This window comes from Homo sapiens, chromosome 1 (assembly GCF_000001405.40).
Source record: "Homo sapiens chromosome 1, GRCh38.p14 Primary Assembly".
NCBI lineage: Eukaryota > Metazoa > Chordata > Mammalia > Primates > Hominidae > Homo > Homo sapiens.
This window is the reverse complement of record NC_000001.11, coordinates 49,847,306-49,867,220: the sequence shown is the minus strand read 5'-3', so window position 1 is coordinate 49,867,220 and position 19,915 is coordinate 49,847,306. Positions and strand designations below refer to the sequence as shown.

Genomic DNA, 19,915 nt, shown 5'->3' with positions numbered 1-19,915 from the left:
ACAGGTAAAAGAGTCCACGGATGCCAAAGAACAGAAACTACAGGAAAACTCGCTGGCAGACACCTAGGTGTGACACCCAAGGTCACAGACAGCATCCTAAAGGCTCTGGGGAAGACCTGGCCGCACCTCCCGGCAGGACAGGACTGACTGGGGCCTTTCAGCAGCAACACAGACAGGAAAGATGCTGATATTTTCAAAATCTAGAAGGAAACAACATTAAAGCCAGTCAGACCCTCACGTAAACAGAAAGGACGAGATTAAAATGTCCTCAGGCTTACAAGGCCTCAGGAGATTCACCACACAGAGACCCACGCCAAGAACATTTTTAGAGGACATGGTTAAATAAGAGGAACAGCGAATCCAGGAGTTGCCATGAGAATGATGTGAAGTCAAGGTGACCAAATACAAGGAAAAAAAAAAAAGAAATTCTTGGTTGGAAAGTCTTTTTTTTAATTTAAGATGGAGTTTCAAACTTGTTGCCCAGGCTGGAGTGCAATGGCGTGATCTCGGCTCATTGCAACCTCCACCTTCAGGGTTCAAATGATTCTCCTGCCTCAGCATTCTGAGTAGCTGGGATTACAGGTGCATGCCACCACGCCCGGCTAATATTTGCATTTTTAGTAGAGACGGAATTTTGCCATGTTGACCAGACTGGTCTCGAACTCCTGACCTCAGGTGATCTGCCCACCTTGGCCTCCCAAAGTGCTGGGATTACAAGTGTGAGCCACCGTGCCCAGCCAGAAAGTCTTTTTTTAAAAAGTGTGAATATTGGCTCTTATTCTCTTCTGGCTTATAGGGTTTCTGCTGAGAGGTCTGCTTTTAGTCTGATGGGCTTCCCTTTTTTTAGGCAACTTGGCCTTTCTGTCCTGCTGCCCTTAACATTTTTTCCTTCATTTTGACCTTGGAGAATCTGATGATTATGTGTCTTGGGATTGATCTTCTCATGGAATATCTTACTGGGGCTCCCTGTATTTTCTGAATTTGAATGTTGGCCTGTGTTGCTAGGTTGGGGAAGTTCTCCTGGATGATATTCTGAGGTATGTTTTCCAAATTGGTTCCACTCTCCCTGTCTCTTTCAGGTACCCCAATCAGTTGTAGAGTTGCTCCTTTTATATAATCCCATAGTTTTCAGAGTTTTGCTTGTTTCTTTTTATTCTTCTTTCTCTAATCTTGTCTCCCTGTCTTACTTCAGCAAGATAGTCTTGAAGCTCTGAAATTCTTTCCTCAGCTTGGTCTGTTAGGTTGTTGATACTTGTGGTTGCAAAATTATATTCTCATGTTGTGTTTTTCAGCTCCTTCAGGTCATTTATGTGCCTCTCTAAACTGGTTATTCTGATTAACAGCTCCTGTAATGTTTTGTCATGGTTCTTAGCTTCTTTGCATTGGGTTAGAACATGCTCCTTTAGCTCTGTGAAGTTTGTCATTGTCTTATCTTTTGAAGCCTACTTCTGTCAGTTCATCCATCTCAGCCTCAGCCCAGTTCTCTGTCCTTGCTGGAGAGATGTTGCAATCATTTGGAGGAGAGGAGGAACTCTGGCTTTTTGAGTTTTCAGTGTTTTTTTCATTGATTCTTTCTCATCTTCCTGAGTTTATCTGGTTTCTATCTTTGAGGATGATGACTTTGGATGGAGTTTTTATGGGGACTTTTTGTTGATGCTGTTGTTCTTATTTTCTGTTTGTTTGTTTTGCTTTCAAAAGTCAGGCTCCTCTCCCATAGGGCTGCTGTGGTTTTCTGAGGGTCTGCTCCAGACTCTATTTGCCTGGGTCCCTCTTGTATCTGGATATGTCACCGTGGAGGCTGCAGAATAGCAAAATGCCTGCCTGCTTCTTCCTCCGGGAGCTCCATTTCAGAGGGGCACTGACCTGATGCCAGAGGGAATATTCCTGTATAAAGTGTCTGGCAACCCCTGTCTCATCCAGTCAGGAGGCACGGGATCAGGGACCCTTTTAATGAAGAACTCTGCCTGCTCTTTGGTGGAGGGGCTGTCTGCACTGGGGCGAATCTCACTCATCTGGGCTGCCCAGATTCCTCAGAGCCAGCAGGGGGAAATACTTAAGTCCTCTGATTTACAGAGGTTGTGGTTGCCCCTCTCCTTAGTGGCTCCATTCCCAAGGGAGATCAGAGTTTTGTCCGTAAACCCCTGGCTGGACTTGCTGACATTTCAGCAGGGAGGCCCTGCCCAGTGATGAAGGATGGGTCTGGATCTGGCCTGAAGAGGCAGTCTGGTCAAGATCTGCCACATCAGCTGTGCTGAGCTGTGGAGAATTCCTCCTGGGTCCAATTTGCCCAGCCTCCTCAGCACTGCCAGAAGAAAACAGCAGACTGGAGCTGCAGTGATGGCCGCCTCCCCTCGCCCCAGCAGCTCAGTCATCCTAGGCAGCAGGCAGCCGCAGTGATGACAGCAAGCAGGCAGCCGCAGTGATGTCAGCCACCCATTTCTCCAGGAACTTGATAATTTTAGGCAGTCTCCAGCTGAACTACTGCCAAGAATCTGCACAGTCATGGGGCTCAAGGCTCTGGTGGCATGAGCTCATCAGGGGATCTCCTGATCCATGGGTTGCACAGATCAGTGGAAAAAGCATGGCTTCCCAGGTTGGGTAGCACAACCACTCCCTGCATCCCTTGGCTAGGGGTGGGAGCTCCCCTTGCCCTGTGTAGCTGCTGGGTGGGCTGTTGCTCTGCTTTTCCTCACTCTTCATGGTTCGCGCCAACCACCTAGTCTTTCCTAATGAGAGAGCCTGATACCTCAGTTGCCGATGCAGGATTCACTAGCTGTTTCCCCTCTTGGTTGGAGCCTCCCACTGCATCTCTTTCTAGTCGGCCATCTTTCAATTAAGTTATTATTGACTATAGTCATCCTGTGATGCTATCAAATAGTAGGTCATATTCATTCTTTCTGTTGTTTTTTTTGTACCCATTAACCATATCCACCTGCCTGTCAGCCACTGACTATCCTTTCCAGGCTTGGGTAACCATTCTTCTACTCTCTTTGTCTATTAGTTCAATTGTTTTGATTTTTAGATCCCACAAATAAATGAGAACATGCAATGTTTGTCTTTCTGTACCTGGCTTTTTTCACTTAATATGATTTCCAGTTCTATCTATGTTTTTGGAAATGACAGGATCTCATTTTTTTTATGGCTGATAATACTCCATTGTGTATATGTACCTACCACATTTTCTTTATCCATTCATCTGCTGGTGAACACTTCGGTTTTTCCCAAAGTGCTGCATCAAACAGGAGTGCAGATATCTCTTTGATATACTGATTTCTTTTTTGGGGGGTTATATACCCAGCAGTGGGATTGCTGGATCATATGGTAGCTCTATTTTTAGTTTCTAGAGAAAGCTCCACACTGTTCTCCATGGTGGTTGGACTAATGTACATTCCCACCAACAGTATACAAGGGTTCCCTTTTCTCTACATCCTTACCAGCATTTGTTATTGCCTGTCTTTTTGATATTAGCCATTTTGAGAGAGGCGAGAAGACATTCTAGTGTTGATTTTCATTTCTTTGATGATCAGTGATGTTGAACACCTTTTCATATGCCTGTTTGCCATTTTTATGTCTTCTTTTCCAAAATGCCTATTCAAATCTTTGCCCATCTTTTGATTAGATTATTAGAAATTTTCTTATAGGGTTATTTGAGCTCCTTATATATTCTTGTTATTAATTATTTGTCAGATGAAATTTCTACAAATATTTTCTCACATTCTGTGGGTTGTCTCTTCACTTTGTTGATTGAATCCTTTGCTGTGCAGAATCTTTTTAACTGTATGTGATGTCATTTGTTCATTGTTGCTTTGGTTGTCTGTGTTTGTAGGACATTGCTGAAGAAATCTTTGGCCAGACCAATGTCCTGGTGATTTTTTCCAATGTGTTTTTGTAGTAGTTTCATAGTTTGAAGTCTTAAGGTATTTAACCAATTTTGATTTGATTTTTTGTATATGGTGAGAGATAGGGGTCTAGATTCATTTTCCATATGGATATCCTGTTTTCCCAGCACCATTTATTGAAGAGACTGTCCTTTCCTGAGTGTATGTTCTTGGCACCTTTGTCAAAAATGGGTTCACTGTACATGTGTTTGTTTCTGTGTGCTCTATTTTGTTCCATTGGTATATGTGTCTGTTTTTATGTCAGTACCATGCTGTTTTGCTTACTGTAGTTTTGTAGTATAATTTTTCCTTGGGTTTTCTATGTTATAATGTTAAAATAGTCTGTGTTTTTCTGTGTACTTACTATTACCATTGAGTTTTGTACCCTCAGGTAATTACTTATTGCTCATTAACATCCTTCTCCTTCTGATTGAACTACTTCATTTAGCATTTCTTATAGGAGAGGTCTGGTGTTGATGAAATACCTCAGCTTTTTTTGTATGTGTGTGAGAAAGTCTTTATTTATCCTCCATATTTGAAGGGTATTTTTGTTGGACATACTATTCTAGGGTAAAAGCTTTTTTCTTTCAGCCCTTTGACTATGTCATGCCACTGTCTTCTGGCCTGTAAGGTTTCCACTGAAAAGTCTGCCGCCAGGTGTATTGAAGCTCCACTGTATTTATTTGTTTCCTTTCTCTTGCTGCTTTTAGGGTCCTTTCTTTATGCTTGATCTTTAGGAGTTTGATTATTAAATGCCTCGAGGTAACCCTTCTTTGGGTTAAATCTCATTGGTGTTCCATAACCTTTTTGTGCTTGTATATTGATATCTTTCTCCAGGTTTGGGAAGTTCTTTGGTGTTATTCCTTTGAATACACTTTCTAACCCCGCTTCTTTCTCTACTTCCTCTTTAAGGCCATTATCTCTTAAATTTGCTATTTTGAGGCTATTTTCTAGATCCTGTAGTTATGCTTCATTGTTTTTTTTTTTTTGTCTCCTATATGTATTATCAAATAACCTGTCTTCAAACTCACTAATTCTTTCTTCTGCTTGATCAGTTCTGCTATTGAAGAACCCTGATGCATTCTTCAGTATGCCAATTGCATTTTTCAGCTTTAGAATTTCTGCTTGAGTTTTTAAAAGGTATTTCAATCTCTATGTTATATGTATCTGATAGCATTCTGAATTCCTTCTCTGTGTTATCTTGGATTTCTTTGAGTTACCTCAACACAGCAATTTTGAATTCTCTGTCTGAAAGGTCACATATCTCTATTTTTCCAGGATTGGTCTCTTGTGTTTTATTTGTTTGTTTGGTGAGACCATGTTTTTGTGGGTGGTTTTGATGCTAGTAGATGTTTTTTGGTGTCTGGGCATTGAAGAGTTAGGTATTTAGTGTTAGTCTTCAGTTTCTGGGCTTGTTTATAGCCATCCTTCTTGTAAAGGCTTTTCAGATATTCAAAAGGACTTGGGTGCTGTGATCTAAGCTGTATCTGCTTTAGGGGGCACCCCAAGCCCAGTTACATTGTGGTTCTAGCAGAGTTGTAGAGATGTACCACCTTGATCGTCTTGGAGAAGATCTGAGTATATTCTCTGGATTAGCAGGCAGAGGCTCTTTATCTTTTCCCCTACTTTCTAATAAATATACAGAGTCTCTCTGTTTTCTGGGCTACCTATTCAAAATAGCTGTGTTGAGGTAGCTCAAATCCAAGATAACAGAGAGAAGGAATTCAGAATTCTATCAGATGAATTTAACGTAGAGATTGAAATAACTTTGAAAAAGTTCTCCAAGACCATCAAGGTGGTGCTCCTCTACAAAATCCCAGGGTGTGTCTAGAAATGTCATCTGGGTGCTAGGGCCTGGAACAGGGGCCTCATTACTCTGACCAGTGCCCTATCATGCTGTGGCTGAGCTGGTGTCCAAGATGTACGACAAAGTCCTCACTACTCTTTTCTTTCCTCTTTTCAAGCAGAAGGAAGTGTTTCTTTTGGAACCACAAGCTCTACAGCCTAGGGTTAGGGGAAGGGTGATGCCAGCACTTCCTTGGCTGCCCCAGCTGATATCTCAGTATCTCACGTGCCCCTTCCAGTCCAATGTCTCTGGCCTAGTTCAGCTCTAGGCTTACCTAAAAGTTGCAGTTCTTATGGCCTAGACTGCCTTTGAAGTTTACTTGGAGACCAAGAGCACTTTGGCCCTTGGTGGAAGGTGTGTGGGCACTCACAATGGGACCTGGGCTGATTTAAATGCTCTCTCTGTGGGTGGGCATCAGCTGAGTTTGGTCTGTTTTTCTTCCCCCAGCTCTAACAGAACAGCACTGAGTTCAGTGCGTCACAATTACTGTGTTCTCCCCCTCTCAGCAGCCAGAGATGCTCTTTGCACCACTCTGTAGCTGCCTGGGTTGGGGAGGGGTCGCATTGGTGATTCAGGACTGTTTTTGTGATCTCTTCAGTGCCTCTTTCAGTGATATGAAGTTAAAACCAGGTACTGTCAGTGCTCATCTGATTTTTGGTTCTTACAGAAGGTGTTTTTTTCTGTGTAGATAGTTGTTAACTTGTTTTTTGTTTTTTGTTTTTTTTTTTGCTGGGGAAGGGGATAATTTATGGAGCTTTCTATTTCTTTATCTTTATCTGCCTCCTTATTACTATTTTTTTGAGACAGCATCTGTCTGACACTCAGGCTGGAGTGCAGTGGCACAATCACGGCTCACTGCAGTCTCGAGCTCCTGGGCTGAGGTGATTCTTCCATCTCAGCCTCCTGAGTTACTGGGACTAGTGGCATGTGCCACCACTGCCAGCTAACTTTTAAAATTTTTCGTTGAGATGCAGTTTTGCTATGTTGCCTGGGCTGGTCTCAAACTTCTGGGCTGAAGCGATTCACTTGCATCTGCCTTCCAAAGTGGTGGGTCTACAGGCGTGAGCCACTGAGCCCAGACTCATGTGGATTATTGATGACCAATTAGTAAATATTTTCTTCTCTACATTGAATTGCCTTTGCACTTTTATTGAAAATCAATTGACCATGTAAGTGTTTGCATTTCTGCATTTAGTTTTATTCCAGTAAACTATGTTTCAGTCTCTTTTCCAACCCCACACTGTTTTTTTTCCAAAATTGCTTTGATTTTTTTTAGTTTGTTTGCTTTTCCATATACATTTTAGAACCAGTTGGTTGAGTATTCAGTTGGGATTGTATTGAATCTCTAGATCGATATATGGAGAATTGACATTTTGACATTTAGCCTTCCAATCCATTCACAAGGTTTGTTTCTCCCTTTATTTAGACCTTTTTAAAATTTATCAGTGGTTCTAGTTTTAAGAGTAGAGATTTTGCAAATGTTTATTAGATTTATAAATTTTATTGGTGTTACAAATATTACTGATTTTAATTTTTAATTTACAATTGCTTATTGCTAATTATATAGAGATATGATTGATTTCTTCTATTGACTTTTTGTCCTTTAATCTTTCTGAGCTTATTTATTCTAGTAACTTTTTAGTAACTTCTTTGTGATTTTTTTCTCTAGACAATTCTGTTGTGTATGAATAGGGACAGTATGTACAGCTTTAATTTCTTTTCTTTGTTTATTGCACGTTTAGAAACTTTAGGATGATGTTGAATAAGAGTGATGACAGTGAGCATCCTTATCTAGTAAACAATACTGGGGGGTAATTTTTAGTCTTTCACAATTAAATATAATTTAAGTATATTAAAAAATACATAATTACATATTATGTAAGATAAAGATATAAAGATTCCTTTTATCATGTCAAGGAATTCCGTTTTAATTCTTCATATGCTGAGAATAAGTAGCTACTGAATTTTGAATTTTGTCAAATGCTTTTTTTGTGCATTTGTTGAGATGATCATATAGATTTTCTTTATGGATCTGTCACTATGGTGAATTACATTAATTGATTTCTGAATGTTGAACTGATCTTGCACACCCAAGATAAATTGTGCTTGGTCATGATATACTTTCCTCAGACTGATGGATTTGATTTGCTAATACTTTGCTGAGAATTTTGAGTCTATGTTCAGAAGGAATACCAGTCTTTAGTTTTCTTCTTGTTTAATGTCTTCATCTGCTTAGTAATTTCATCTAAGTTCACAAAATTAGGAGTTAACATTGTTCATAATGTTCTCTCATTATCCTCTTAATAATGCCCAGTGGCTTTTAGGGATGTTAACCTTTTCATTCCTGATATTGCTAATATGTCAACTAATTCTATTGATTACTGAAATAGTCGTATTGAAGGGTTAAACATAATTGTGGTTTTGTATATTTCATCTTTTATTTCTATTAGTTTCTTTCGTGCATTTTCTTTTTCTTTTTTTTTTCTTTTGAGATAGAGTCTTACTCTGTAGCCCAGGCTGGAGTGCAGTCTCAGCTCGCTGCAAACTCTGCCTCCCAGATTCAAGTGATTCTTGTGCTTCATCCTCCCAAGTAGCTGGGATTATAGGCACCTGCCACCACACCATGCTAATTTTTGGATTTTTAGTGGAGACAGGGTTTTGTCATGTTGGCCAGGCTGGTCTTGAACTCCTGACTTCAGGTGATCTGCCGCCTCAGCCTCCCAAAGTGCTGGGATTACAGGTGTGAGGCACCTTGCCTGGCCTTTTTCATGCATTTTCAAGTGGTGGTGTTAGGTGTGTATACTTTTAGGATTATTGGTCTTGGTGAGCTGACTCCTTTATCACTATTTGATGGTGGTCTTTAGTCCTAGTTTTAGTTCTTGGTCTTAAGTCTACATTCTCTTATTTTAATATAGCCTCTCGAGCTCTCTTTTTATTATTGTTTGCGTGGTCCCTTCAATCCTTTTTCTTATAATCTATTCATGACTTTATATAATATTTAAACAATTTTCTATAAATAGTATATCATTGGATTTTCCTATTTTAACCAATATGGTAATCTGTCTGTTAGATATATAAATATATCATTGATTTTGTTTCCTTTAGATAAATATCCTGTACTGGAATTGCTGGATTGTATGGTACTTTTATTTTTAGATATTTAGGCAACTTTTATACTGTGCTCCATCGTGTCTATGTACTAATGTACTAATTTACATTTCCACTATTTCTTGTAATGGTATACAAGAATTGCCTTTTCTTTTCTTCCTCGCCTGCATTTGCTATTTTTTATCCTTTTCATAGTAGTCATTCTGCTGGGGTGAGATGGTATCTCATTGTGGTTTGGTGTGCCTTTCCTTGATGATTAGTGATGTTGAGCATTTTTTCATATGTTTTGGGGACATTTGTATGTCTCCTTTTGAGAAATATCTGGTCATTTCTGCTGTCCACTTTTTAATGAGGATATTTTATTTTTTTGTTGTTGTTGAGTTTTTTGAGTTCTTTGTATATTCTAGAGAGTTAGTCCCTTTGGGTAAATAATTTGCAAATATTTTCTTTTATTCTAAAGATTGTCTAATCATTTTGTTGATTGTTTCCTTCACTGTGCAGAAGCTTTTTAGTTCAATTAGTCCCATTGGTCTATTTTTGTTTCTGTTGCCTGTGCTTTTGATGTCTTAGCCATTAAATCTTTGCCTAGACCAATCTACTGAAGTGTTTCTTCTAATAGTTTTATAGTTTCAGTTCTTATATTTAAGTCCATAATTCACATTGAGTTGATTTTTGTATATGGTGAGAGATGGGGTCTAGTTTCATTCTTCTGCATGTGGATATTCAGTTTTCACAGCACCATTTATTAAAGAGACTGTCCTTTCCCCAGTGTATGTTCTCTCTGTGCATTTGTTAAAAATTATTTGTCTGTAAATACATGAAATTACTTTTTGGTTTTTTATTCTCTTCCATGGGTCTATGTATCTGTTTATTTACTAACACTGTGTTATTTTGACTATTATGGCTTTTTGTTTTGGCATATGAAGTATGGTAGTGTGATGACTCCATGTTTGTTCTGTTTGCTCAATGTTGTTGGCTATTTGGGGTATTTGTGTTTCCATGTCAATTTTAGGATTGATTATTTTCTCTATTTCTGTGAAGAAAGTCATTGTATTTTGAAAGGGATTACATTGGCTCTGTAGATTGCTTTGGGTGGTATGGTCATTTTAACAATGCTATTCTTCTAATCCATGAGCATGGGAGGTTGTTTTATTTGTTCGTGTTTTATTTTTATATTCATCAGTGTTTTGGAATTTTCATTGCAGTCTTTCAGCCCGTTGGTTAAATTTATTTCTAGGCATTTCAATTTTTTGTAGCTATTGTAAGTGGGATTGACTTCTTGATTTTTTTTCAGGTTGTTCACTATTCATGTATAGAAATAGTTATGATTTACATAGGTTGAATTTGTATCTTGAAACTTTACTTAATAATTTATCAGTTTCAACAGTTTTTTTTTTTTGGCAGAAGCTTTAGGTTTTTCTAAATAAAAGATCATGTCATCTATGAACAAGGATAATTTGGCTTCCTTTTTTCCCATTTGGATTTCTCTTTTCCCCTCTTGCCTAATTGCTCTGGCTAGAACATCCAGTACCATGTTGAGTAAGAGAAGTGAAAGTGGGCATCCTTGTCTTGTTCTGTTCTTAGAGGAAATACTTTGAGATTTTTCGTATTCAGTATGATGTTACAGTGGGTTTGTCATATATTGCCTTTATTGTGTTGAGATATGTTCTTTCTGTAGCTAATTTGTTAAGAGCACTTACATGAAGGGATGATGATGAATTTTATGGAGTGCATTTTCTTTATCTATTAAGGTGATCATACAGTTTTTGTCCTTCATTCTGTTGATGTGTTATATCACATTTATTGATTTTTGTATGTTGAACCGTCCTTGTATCCCTGGGATACATTCCACTTGAGCATGGTGTATATCCTTTTTGATGTGCTGTTGGATTCAGTTAGCTAATATTTTGTTGATAATTTTTGATTCTATGTTCATTAGAGAAATTGGCTTATTGTTTCTTGTTGTTTCCTTCTCTGGTATTGGTATCAAGGTAATGCTGTTTTTATAGAATGAGTTAGAAAGAATTCTCTTTCACTTTTTGGAATAGTTTGAGAATTGATATTGGTTCTTTTTAAAAAGTTTGGTAGATTTCAGAAGTACAGCCATTTGTTCCTGTGCTTTCTTCATTGGGAAGTTTTTAAAATTACTCATTCAATCTTACTACTCATTATTAATCTGTTCAGGTTTTCTATTTATTTCTGGTTCAGTCTTTATAGGTTATATATATTCACAAATTTATACATTTTTCTCTTGGTTTTCCAATTTGATAGCACATGGTTGTTCATAATAGTCTCTAGTGGTCCTTTGTATTTCTATGGTATCAGTTGTAATGTCTTTTTTTTATTTCTGATTTTATTTATTTGAGTCTTCTCTCTTTGTATCGTTTAGCTAGCTAGCAGTTTATCGATTTTATCTTTTCAAAAAACCACCTTTTAATTCTGCTTATCCTTTGTATTTTTTTAGATTCTATTTTGCTTAGTTCTGCTTTGATCTTTATTATTTATTTTCTTCTACTTATTTTGCATTTGGTTTATTTGTGCTTTTCTACTTTCTTGATGTGCAGCATTACATTGTTAAAATCTTTCTGCTTTATTGATGTAGTAATTTATTGTTGTGAAATATCCTTAGCACTGCTTTTGCTTTATCACGTAGGTTTTTGTATGTTGTGTTTGCTTTTTCATTTGCTTCAATAAATTTTTAAATTTTTCTTCTTAATTTTTTTCATTGATCCAATGGTAATACAGGAGCATGTTGTTTAATTGCTGTCTATTTTTACAGTCTGCAGAGATCCTCTTGTTATTCATTTCCAGTTTTATCCCATTGTGGTCTGACAAGATATTTGATATGATTTTGATTTTTTGAAATTTCTTGAGACTTGTTTTGTGACCGAACATATGATCTGTCCATGAAACTGTTCCATGTGCTGATAAGAAGAATGTGTATTCTGCAGCTTTTGGATGAAATGTTCTGTAAATGTCTGTTATGTCCATTTGGTCTATCGTGCAGATAATTTGTTGATTTGCTTTCTATATGATGTGTCCAATGCTGAATGTGGGGGTTTTGAAGTTTCCCACTATGATTGTATTGGGGTTTATTTCTCTCTTTAGCTTTAATAATATTTGCTTTATATATCTGGATGTTCTGGTGTTGGGGGCATATATATATATTTGTTATATCATCTTACTGAATTGATCTCTTTATCATTACATAATAACCTTTTTGTTTGTATTTGTGTTAGTTCATTCTCATGCTGCTAGGAAGAAATACCCCAGACTGGGTGATTTCTAAAGAAAAGAGGTTTAATTGACTCACTGTTCCACATGGCTGGGGAGGCCTTAGGAAACTTACAATTATGGCAAAAAGCACCTCTTCACAGTGCAGCAGGAGAGAAAATGAGTGCCAGTTGGGGAAATGCCAACCATCTATAAAACTGGATGACATACATAGGCAGGCTTGTTCTCAAGCTCTCTGATGGTGCATTCAGGTTTGCAGTGGCCCTTCAACTGGAGGAGTGTTGTTTCTGTTTATGGCAGTGTCCCAGGGAAGATGGTTTTCAGGCTCTGGGAACTGTGCATTTTGGCTTCCTTTGTCCTGTGGGTAGCCTCCCTGGTGTGCTATACTGTCTATTTTAGGGGATTTAGGGCACTATATGGCTACAGTGCTGGGGGTCCAGATGTATTGCTGGGTCCAGCAGGCATCATAATGCTGCAGCCCTCTGGTTGGATGTGGGAGGATGTCCTTGGGGCTCCAGGGATGTGGAGGTGCAGGAGCAGCTGGGCCCCAGGGTAAGAGGTAGTCTGATGGGGGATTAGTTCTCAAAATGGTGCCATGTTGCACCTGCTTAGGCTTCAGGGGGGTGAGTAGAACAGAGTGTGAGTTTCCTCTGTAGAACAATGCAATTGCAATGGACTCCATATGACTTTCTATGCTAGAGTCTCCTGTGGCTATTGCAGGCATCTGTGATGGGAATGTGCAGCACTGGGGATCTTTTACTTACCTTTCCTTTGCAGTGGGGAACTTCTTTTGGATCTGAGACAATCATGGATGGGCCAGTTGCTTCACTTCTCTCTCCTTTCATGCCTCAGATGGTCCCTGTCACTTCCCTGCTGAATTCCAATGTTCTCACTTAGGCACTTTATTTGATGTGTGGTTGTCTACTTGTTTTAGAGGGGCCTGACACTTGCCCCTTCCTTGTGAATGAGGGCAAGTGTCAGGCACCTATAGTCATCCATCTTCTTCTATCTTTTGTGCAATTTTTGTAATATATTTTACTTTTCCATATGGCATAAACAGACAATACATTGCTATTTTTTCTATAGTGATTTATCTTTTAGAGTGATTGAAAATAAGAAAATTTATATTTACCTTTATTTATATCATTTCTGGAGCTCTTAATTTCTTTGTGTGGATCTTAGTTTATATCTGGTATTATTTCCCTTCTGCCTGAAGAACTATTGTTGGCGTTTCTTACAACACAGGACTGTTGATAATAAATTATCTCAGCTTTTATTTTTCTTAAAATACCTTTAGTTTGTACTTCATCTTTGAAAGATATTTTCAGTTGGTATAAAATTTTACGTTGACTTTTTCCCAGTAATTTCAATATATCATTACCTTGACTTTTGGTTTGCACAGTTTATATATTTCAAAGAGAAATATGTATTTTTATCTTAGGTCATTTGTATGTGATTTATCTCTTTAAATATAACATAATTTTTAATAATATATTTATTCTCCTAGTTACTGTTTGGATTTGTACCTCAATATCTTTCATTAATTTTGGAAAATTCTCAGGTGTTATATCTTCAGGTATCTTTCTGCTTCATTCTTACTCTCATATCCTTGGGAATCCCAATTATACATATATTTTAGATTGGTTGATATTGTTCCACAGCTCTTGGATGCTCTGCTGTTTTTTCCCTTTTGCCTTTCCTATTTCCCTTTGCATTTATGTTTAGAATATTTTTATTGATCTAAAGTTTACTGATTTATTTTTCAGCTGTCCCAAGTGTACTGATGAATGCATTAAAGGCATTCTTCATCTCTATTACTGTGATTTTTGGTTTTATCATTTCCTTTTGTATTATTACTGTGGTTTCTGTCTTACTGATGAAATTTCCCATTTCTTCATGAATTTTGTTCTCATTTTCCACTACAGCCTTTAACATATTAAGCTTTATTTAAAAATCATTGTCTGATAATTCCAGTATCTGGTCATTTCTGTGTCTGGTCCTGCGTATCATTTTATCCCTAGACAGTAGGTTGTTTTTTCTTGATATTTTGGCTATGTCTCACAATTTTTTATTGAATACCAGAAGAGTAGAGAATACTACTGTTTTATAGTATTTACAGTACTTACAAATATTATTTGTTACTATAAATGGATATCTCTTTCCACCTCATTTGGGTGGGGGCTTGTGTCAACCTAGCTTGGAGTTCAGGTGTGTTTGAGTTTCTTTGTTGCTATGGTTATCTTCAGTTTCCAATTAGCTTCAAATTATTCTAGTGCTATTTTATTTTTGAGGGAAGGGGCTGGCTGGGGTGATTGAGTATTTAAGATGACCATAGCAACAGTGAAACTCAAACCTAGTTTATTTCCAGACTAGGTTGACACAAGCCCCTACACAAATGACCTGGAAAGAGGTATATCCATTTATAGTGATGAATAATATTTATAGTATTCTCTGGGAATGTTTCCTGCTGCTCCTTCAGGTGTAGAGGATTTTTCTTTTATTGTTCCTCTTCCTCTCACTTTTGCACTCAGGTGATAAGTTCGTTATTTCTCCCCTAGTCGTGTAAGGCTGTTTTTCCCATAAGAGACTTCATGCCTTTCCTATTACAGAAGTCTCTCCCCTTCTCTAGGCCTGTACCACAGAGGAAAACATTTTCTGGTCTACCTACTTGCCTGTAATCTTCCTTCTGAATACCTGGTAGAGACCTGTACAGCAGAGTCTTCAAATGGACGTGAATTCCCTGTGTGTCTATGACTCAGTAGTTCCACACTCTCATATTTCCTTATTTGATGTTTAATAATATTTAAAAATTAGCTTAGCTTTCTTACTCATTTGTATGGGACCCAGCATTACTTCTTCTTGTGCTCTGCCATGAAGGAGTCACTGCTTGCTTCCCATACTCTTTTTGGTGAGGCTTGACTTTCCTTCGATATTGGATTATTTAGCTGCTCTTCAAACTCAGCTCTCTGATAGATTTGGGAAAGTTATAATTTTGTACTTAATTGAGATATTTGTTGTTGTTAGGGTAGAAGGGATGCTCTTTCCATTTTTCTACATCTTAGGTGAAAGTGAAACTTCAAAAACTTTTAAAAATTAAAGTTCCTGTTAGGAAATAGAACTTCTATGCTAATTCAGTGTTTCTCAAATTGTTTCTGGTGGAGCATCTGGAAGTCATAATGCTATTTATAGAATGACTGCTTTATTCAAATTTAAACAATTGAATATATGTTTATGACAAATTATGTGAATTATTTATATATTAAATGGTTGATGCAATTTAATGAATATCTCTTGGATTTTGATAATGATAGTAGATATAGTTTATATACAATTCTAATACAACTTTGGAAGATGAGTTTACTGTTCACATTTTATGGATGAGAGGAACTGAAGTGTAAAGATACTAGGTTGATTGCTTTGGGGCATAGAGAATTAGCAGTTATTTGAGTTGAAATTTGACCCTATATCATTTTGTTTCAAAATGTAGCCTTTTTTCACTGTACCACAATGTGGTGTTAACTTCTTTTTGCTTGGGTTAACACTTGGTGACTAGGGAAGGGGTAATTAACAGTAAAAATCTGACTAGACTTCAATTGCCGAATATACTTTGACTTTTATTTCAATTTTTTTAAATAGGCAATGATATGGGAAATGATGATGCCATTGGAGGGAATGTGAGCAAATATATAGTGCTTCCAACTGGCTATTGTGGACAGCCCAAGAAAGGACATCTTATCTTTGATGCTTGCTTTGAAAGTGGTAAGTATATTAAAGGCTTTTCCTTTTAAGTTTGTCTGGTAAGGCATTTCTTTTTTCAGAATTGAATTTTATGTGACCATTCAGTGCAATTCAACTCATTTAATATTTCACAATAATGGGACAAGTTTTATGGGAAAAAATTTTGAAGGAACTAACTTGGGAATATCAAATTTTTGTTGTTATAAATGATTAAAAATATAATTGATGGTAATATTAACAAATGCTTACATAGTAGCTTATATTTTAGAAACTACTTTCCAAGATATTATTTTTTTGGAATAAAACCCTCATGTTTGACTGTATTATCAATTACGATTTATTGAATAATATCTATCTAGTTCTGTATGACATGCTTACAGTAGAACTTAGTTTTAGGGGGAGAAGAGGCTTCCCTATAAAACAATTAGATAGCAGATTTAATTGAATACAAACTAAAGAGCAGAGGTAAAATTTCCTCGTAATTGGCAAATGCTGTGGGTGTTCTGATAGTGGAGATGAGGACTTGATTGTGTATTTTCATCCAGTAGGGACTAGGTCTTCTTTAGCCCTTGATGTTCTGAGCCTCATGCTCTAATTGTCACACAGTAGAGACTCAGAATATGTTGAAAATATTAGTGAGAAAGGTAAACATAATTTTATTTTACAAATAATTATTAATTTTCATTGGTTCTGAATAATGTGTATGCATGTGTGTGCATAAGTATGTGTATGTGTGGCTGAAGGGACATACCAATATCAGTTATATAATAGTTTTTTCTGAACCTTAAAAACATTGGTTGTTTATACCAAACAATTGAAAATTTGTTTATGCAGGGTGTTGCTCTTTGATTATGTCATATTGTATAGGTTTGATAAGGCTGATATAACAAAGTACTACGAAGTGGGTTAAACAACAGATGTTTATTGTTTCTTACTTTCACAGTACTCAGTTTGTCACAAAGTACCACAAACTGAGTGGATTATAAAACAGAAATGTATTGTCTCACAGTCCTGGAGATTAGAAGTCTGAGATTAGCAGGATTGGTTCCCCCTAAGAATTATGAGGAAGAATCTGTTCCATGTTTCTCCCCCTAGCTTCCTACAGGTTGTTAGCAATCTTTGGTGTTCCTTGGCTTACAGAAGCATCACTCTAATCTCTGCCTTCATCTGTACATGGTGTTCTCCCTGTATGTCTATATCCAAATTTCCACTTTTTACAAAAATGTCAGTCACAATGGATTGGGAACTACTTTAATGACCTTATTTTAACTTGATTACCTCTATAAAGATGCTAGGACTTCAACTTAGGAATTTTGAGAGGACATGATTCAGTCATTACGCAGTATTGTAGTATTGTACTTCCAACCAGACCTGAATACTGTCCGCATAATTAAGAACAATGGCTTTTTATTTTCTATAAATCTTGTACTAGTGCCTTGTCTTGTATGTACTTGATGCCTACATAATATCTTTGATTCTTTCTTATGTTAAAGACATAAGGACCCTTTACAATAATTACACCTCTGTGGGAATAAAGATTATCCTCATTTAAAAGATTAAATGTCTTGATTTACATACAGCCTGCAATAATTCAGATTCCTTTCTCATAACATCTTTTCTTTAACCCCACTGCAGTCTTCTTCCATCCTTTACAAAAAAACTCAGTAAAAGAAATTGTTCAATCTTACCATGTAATCACCAAATAAATAATGCATATTTTCCCAACAATTTATGAATAATTGGTTGTATCAGTTAGATCTATGCTAGTAATACATGAGACTTGCAGTAGAGTGGTTAAGTGGACAGATATTGGTTCAGGCTGTGGTTCAAATCTTGGCTTGACAAAGGAGCCAGTTTTCTTACATTTTATTGAGGGATGATACCTACTATCCATCTTAATGTATGTATGTGTGTGTGTGTGTGTGTGTGTGTGTGTGTATGTATACTTTGTTTAAAGATGTGAGCTTTCTTACCAGAATATACATAATAATAATAATAATAATAATAATAATAATAATAATAAATTAGATGAATGAGGACATCTTAGAAAGGGTAAATATTATTTAGGGCAAAGAAGACTCGTCAGAATTTAGAGTGTCAATGACCCTGGAGGGCCTTCCCACACATCCACATCCTGAGTTTCACAATCCCGTGTTTCCAAATCAATGCCCTCATGTTAACATATGCACTCTGCCAGGCTGGTGTTTAACTTGCCTTGTAATTCATTAAGTCACAGGATGAGGTTCTACATTTGATCTTCAGCAATTTCAGCCTTGCAGCCACAGAAAGTAAAGGTCTCCTTCAGGGTACACACAGAAGCTCTTAGGTTATTTATTAGGTGTTTATGCTGGGAGTTTGAATCCCTGAACTCATCCCCCCACCTTTTTTTAACCATGTTGTCCAGTAACATTGGGAGTAGCCAGCCAATGTCATTAAATTTTCAAAAATGTTTGATAGTATCATACACAAAGTCACATAGATCCTTGCTTCTTAAAAGTGATTGATTAGGAATATCTAGTGCAGTTATTTTGCATATCTCTATAAACATTTCATGCCATGGACTTTCTGCTGTTGGATATAACATCATTAGCACCTAAAGTTTTTTATTTGAATAAATTTAAGGGGTACAAACACAGTTTTGATACATTGATATATTGCGTAGTGGTAAAGTTTGGGCTTTTAGTGTAACCATTACCCAAATAATATACATTGTACCGACTAAATAATTTCTCATCTCTCATTCCCTGACCCCTCCTACCCTTCTGAGTCTCAAGGGGCTATTATTCCACGTTCTATATGTATACATATTATTTAGCTCTCACTTATAAATGAGAACATGTGTATTGACTTTCTGCTTTTGAGTTGTTTCACTTAGCATAATGGCCTCCAGTTCCATCCATGTTGCTGCAAAAGATATGATTTAATTCTTTTTATGGATGAATAGTATTCCATTGTATATCACATGTTCTTTATGCAATCCTGCATTGAGTGACATTTAGGCTGATTCCACATCTTTGCTATTGTGAATAGTATTGTAATAAACATTGGAGTGCAAGTAACTTTTTTACATAATGACTTCTTTTTCTTTGAGCAGATACCCAGTAGTGGGATTACTGGATTGAATGGTAGTTCTATTTTTAGTTCTTAGAAAAATATCTTTGAATTGAATGGTATTGAATGGTAGTTCTATTTTTAGTTCTTAGAAAAATCTCCATACTGTTTTCCATAGAGGTTGTGCTAATTTACATTCCCACCAACAGTTGATAAGCATTCTCTTGTCTCTGCATCCTCAACAACATCTATTATTTTTTTGCTTTTTAATAATAGTCATTCTGACTGGTATAAGATATCTCATTGTAGTTTTAATTGCATTTCTGTGATGCTTAATGATGTTGAACATTTTAAAAATATGTTTGGGCCAGGCATGGTGGCTCACGCCTGTAATCCCAGCAATTTGGGAGGCCCAGGCGGGCGGATCACGAGGTCAGGAGATTGAGACCATCCTAGCTAACATGGTGAAACCCCGTCTGTACTAAAAATACAAAAAATTAGTCGGGCGAGGTGGCGGGCGCCTATAGTCCCAGCTACTCGGGAGACTGAGGCAGGAGAATGGCATGAACCTGGCGGGTGGAGCCTGCAGTGAGCCGAGATCGCGCCACTGCCCTCCAGCCTGGGTGACAGAGCGAGACTCCATCTCAAAAAAAAAAAAAACAAGTTTATTTGCCATTTGTAATGTTCTTTTTTAAAAAATATTTATTCATGTCCTTTGCTTATTTTAATGGGGTTATTGATTTTGTTGTGGTTGTTGTTTGAGTTCCTTATAAATTTTGGATATTTGGATATCTACTTTTTTGTGACATTTTTGTAAAAATTGGATAAAATTTGGATATTAGTCCCCTGTCCGATGTATAGTGTGCAGATATTTTCTCCCAATTCTGCATGTTGTCTGTTCATTGTGTTGATTATTTCTTTTGCTGTGTGGAAGCTTTTTAGTTTAATTAAGTCCCATAGATCTATTTTTGTTTGTGTTGCTTATACTTTTGAGGCCTTAGTCATGAATTATTTGCCTAGACCAATGTCCAAAAGAGGTTTCCATAGTTTTTCTTATAGT

At 37.0% G+C, this 19,915-nt stretch overlaps 1 protein-coding gene across 10 annotated transcripts in view; it reads left to right on the top strand.

The window, feature by feature from the left end:
- Positions 1-19,915, top strand: part of AGBL4 (AGBL carboxypeptidase 4) — a 1,501,444-nt gene that overhangs the window by 156,734 nt on the left and 1,324,795 nt on the right. For all 10 annotated transcript variants that reach the window (NR_136623.2, XM_017002595.3, NM_001323575.2 and 7 more), the window contains exon 2: positions 15,703-15,825. Coding sequence is in view for 9 of the 10 variants with exons in the window: in XM_017002595.3 (XP_016858084.1) it covers positions 15,703-15,825 (123 nt within the window). In the remaining variant the exon portion in view is untranslated. The remainder of the gene's footprint in view (positions 1-15,702; positions 15,826-19,915) is intronic.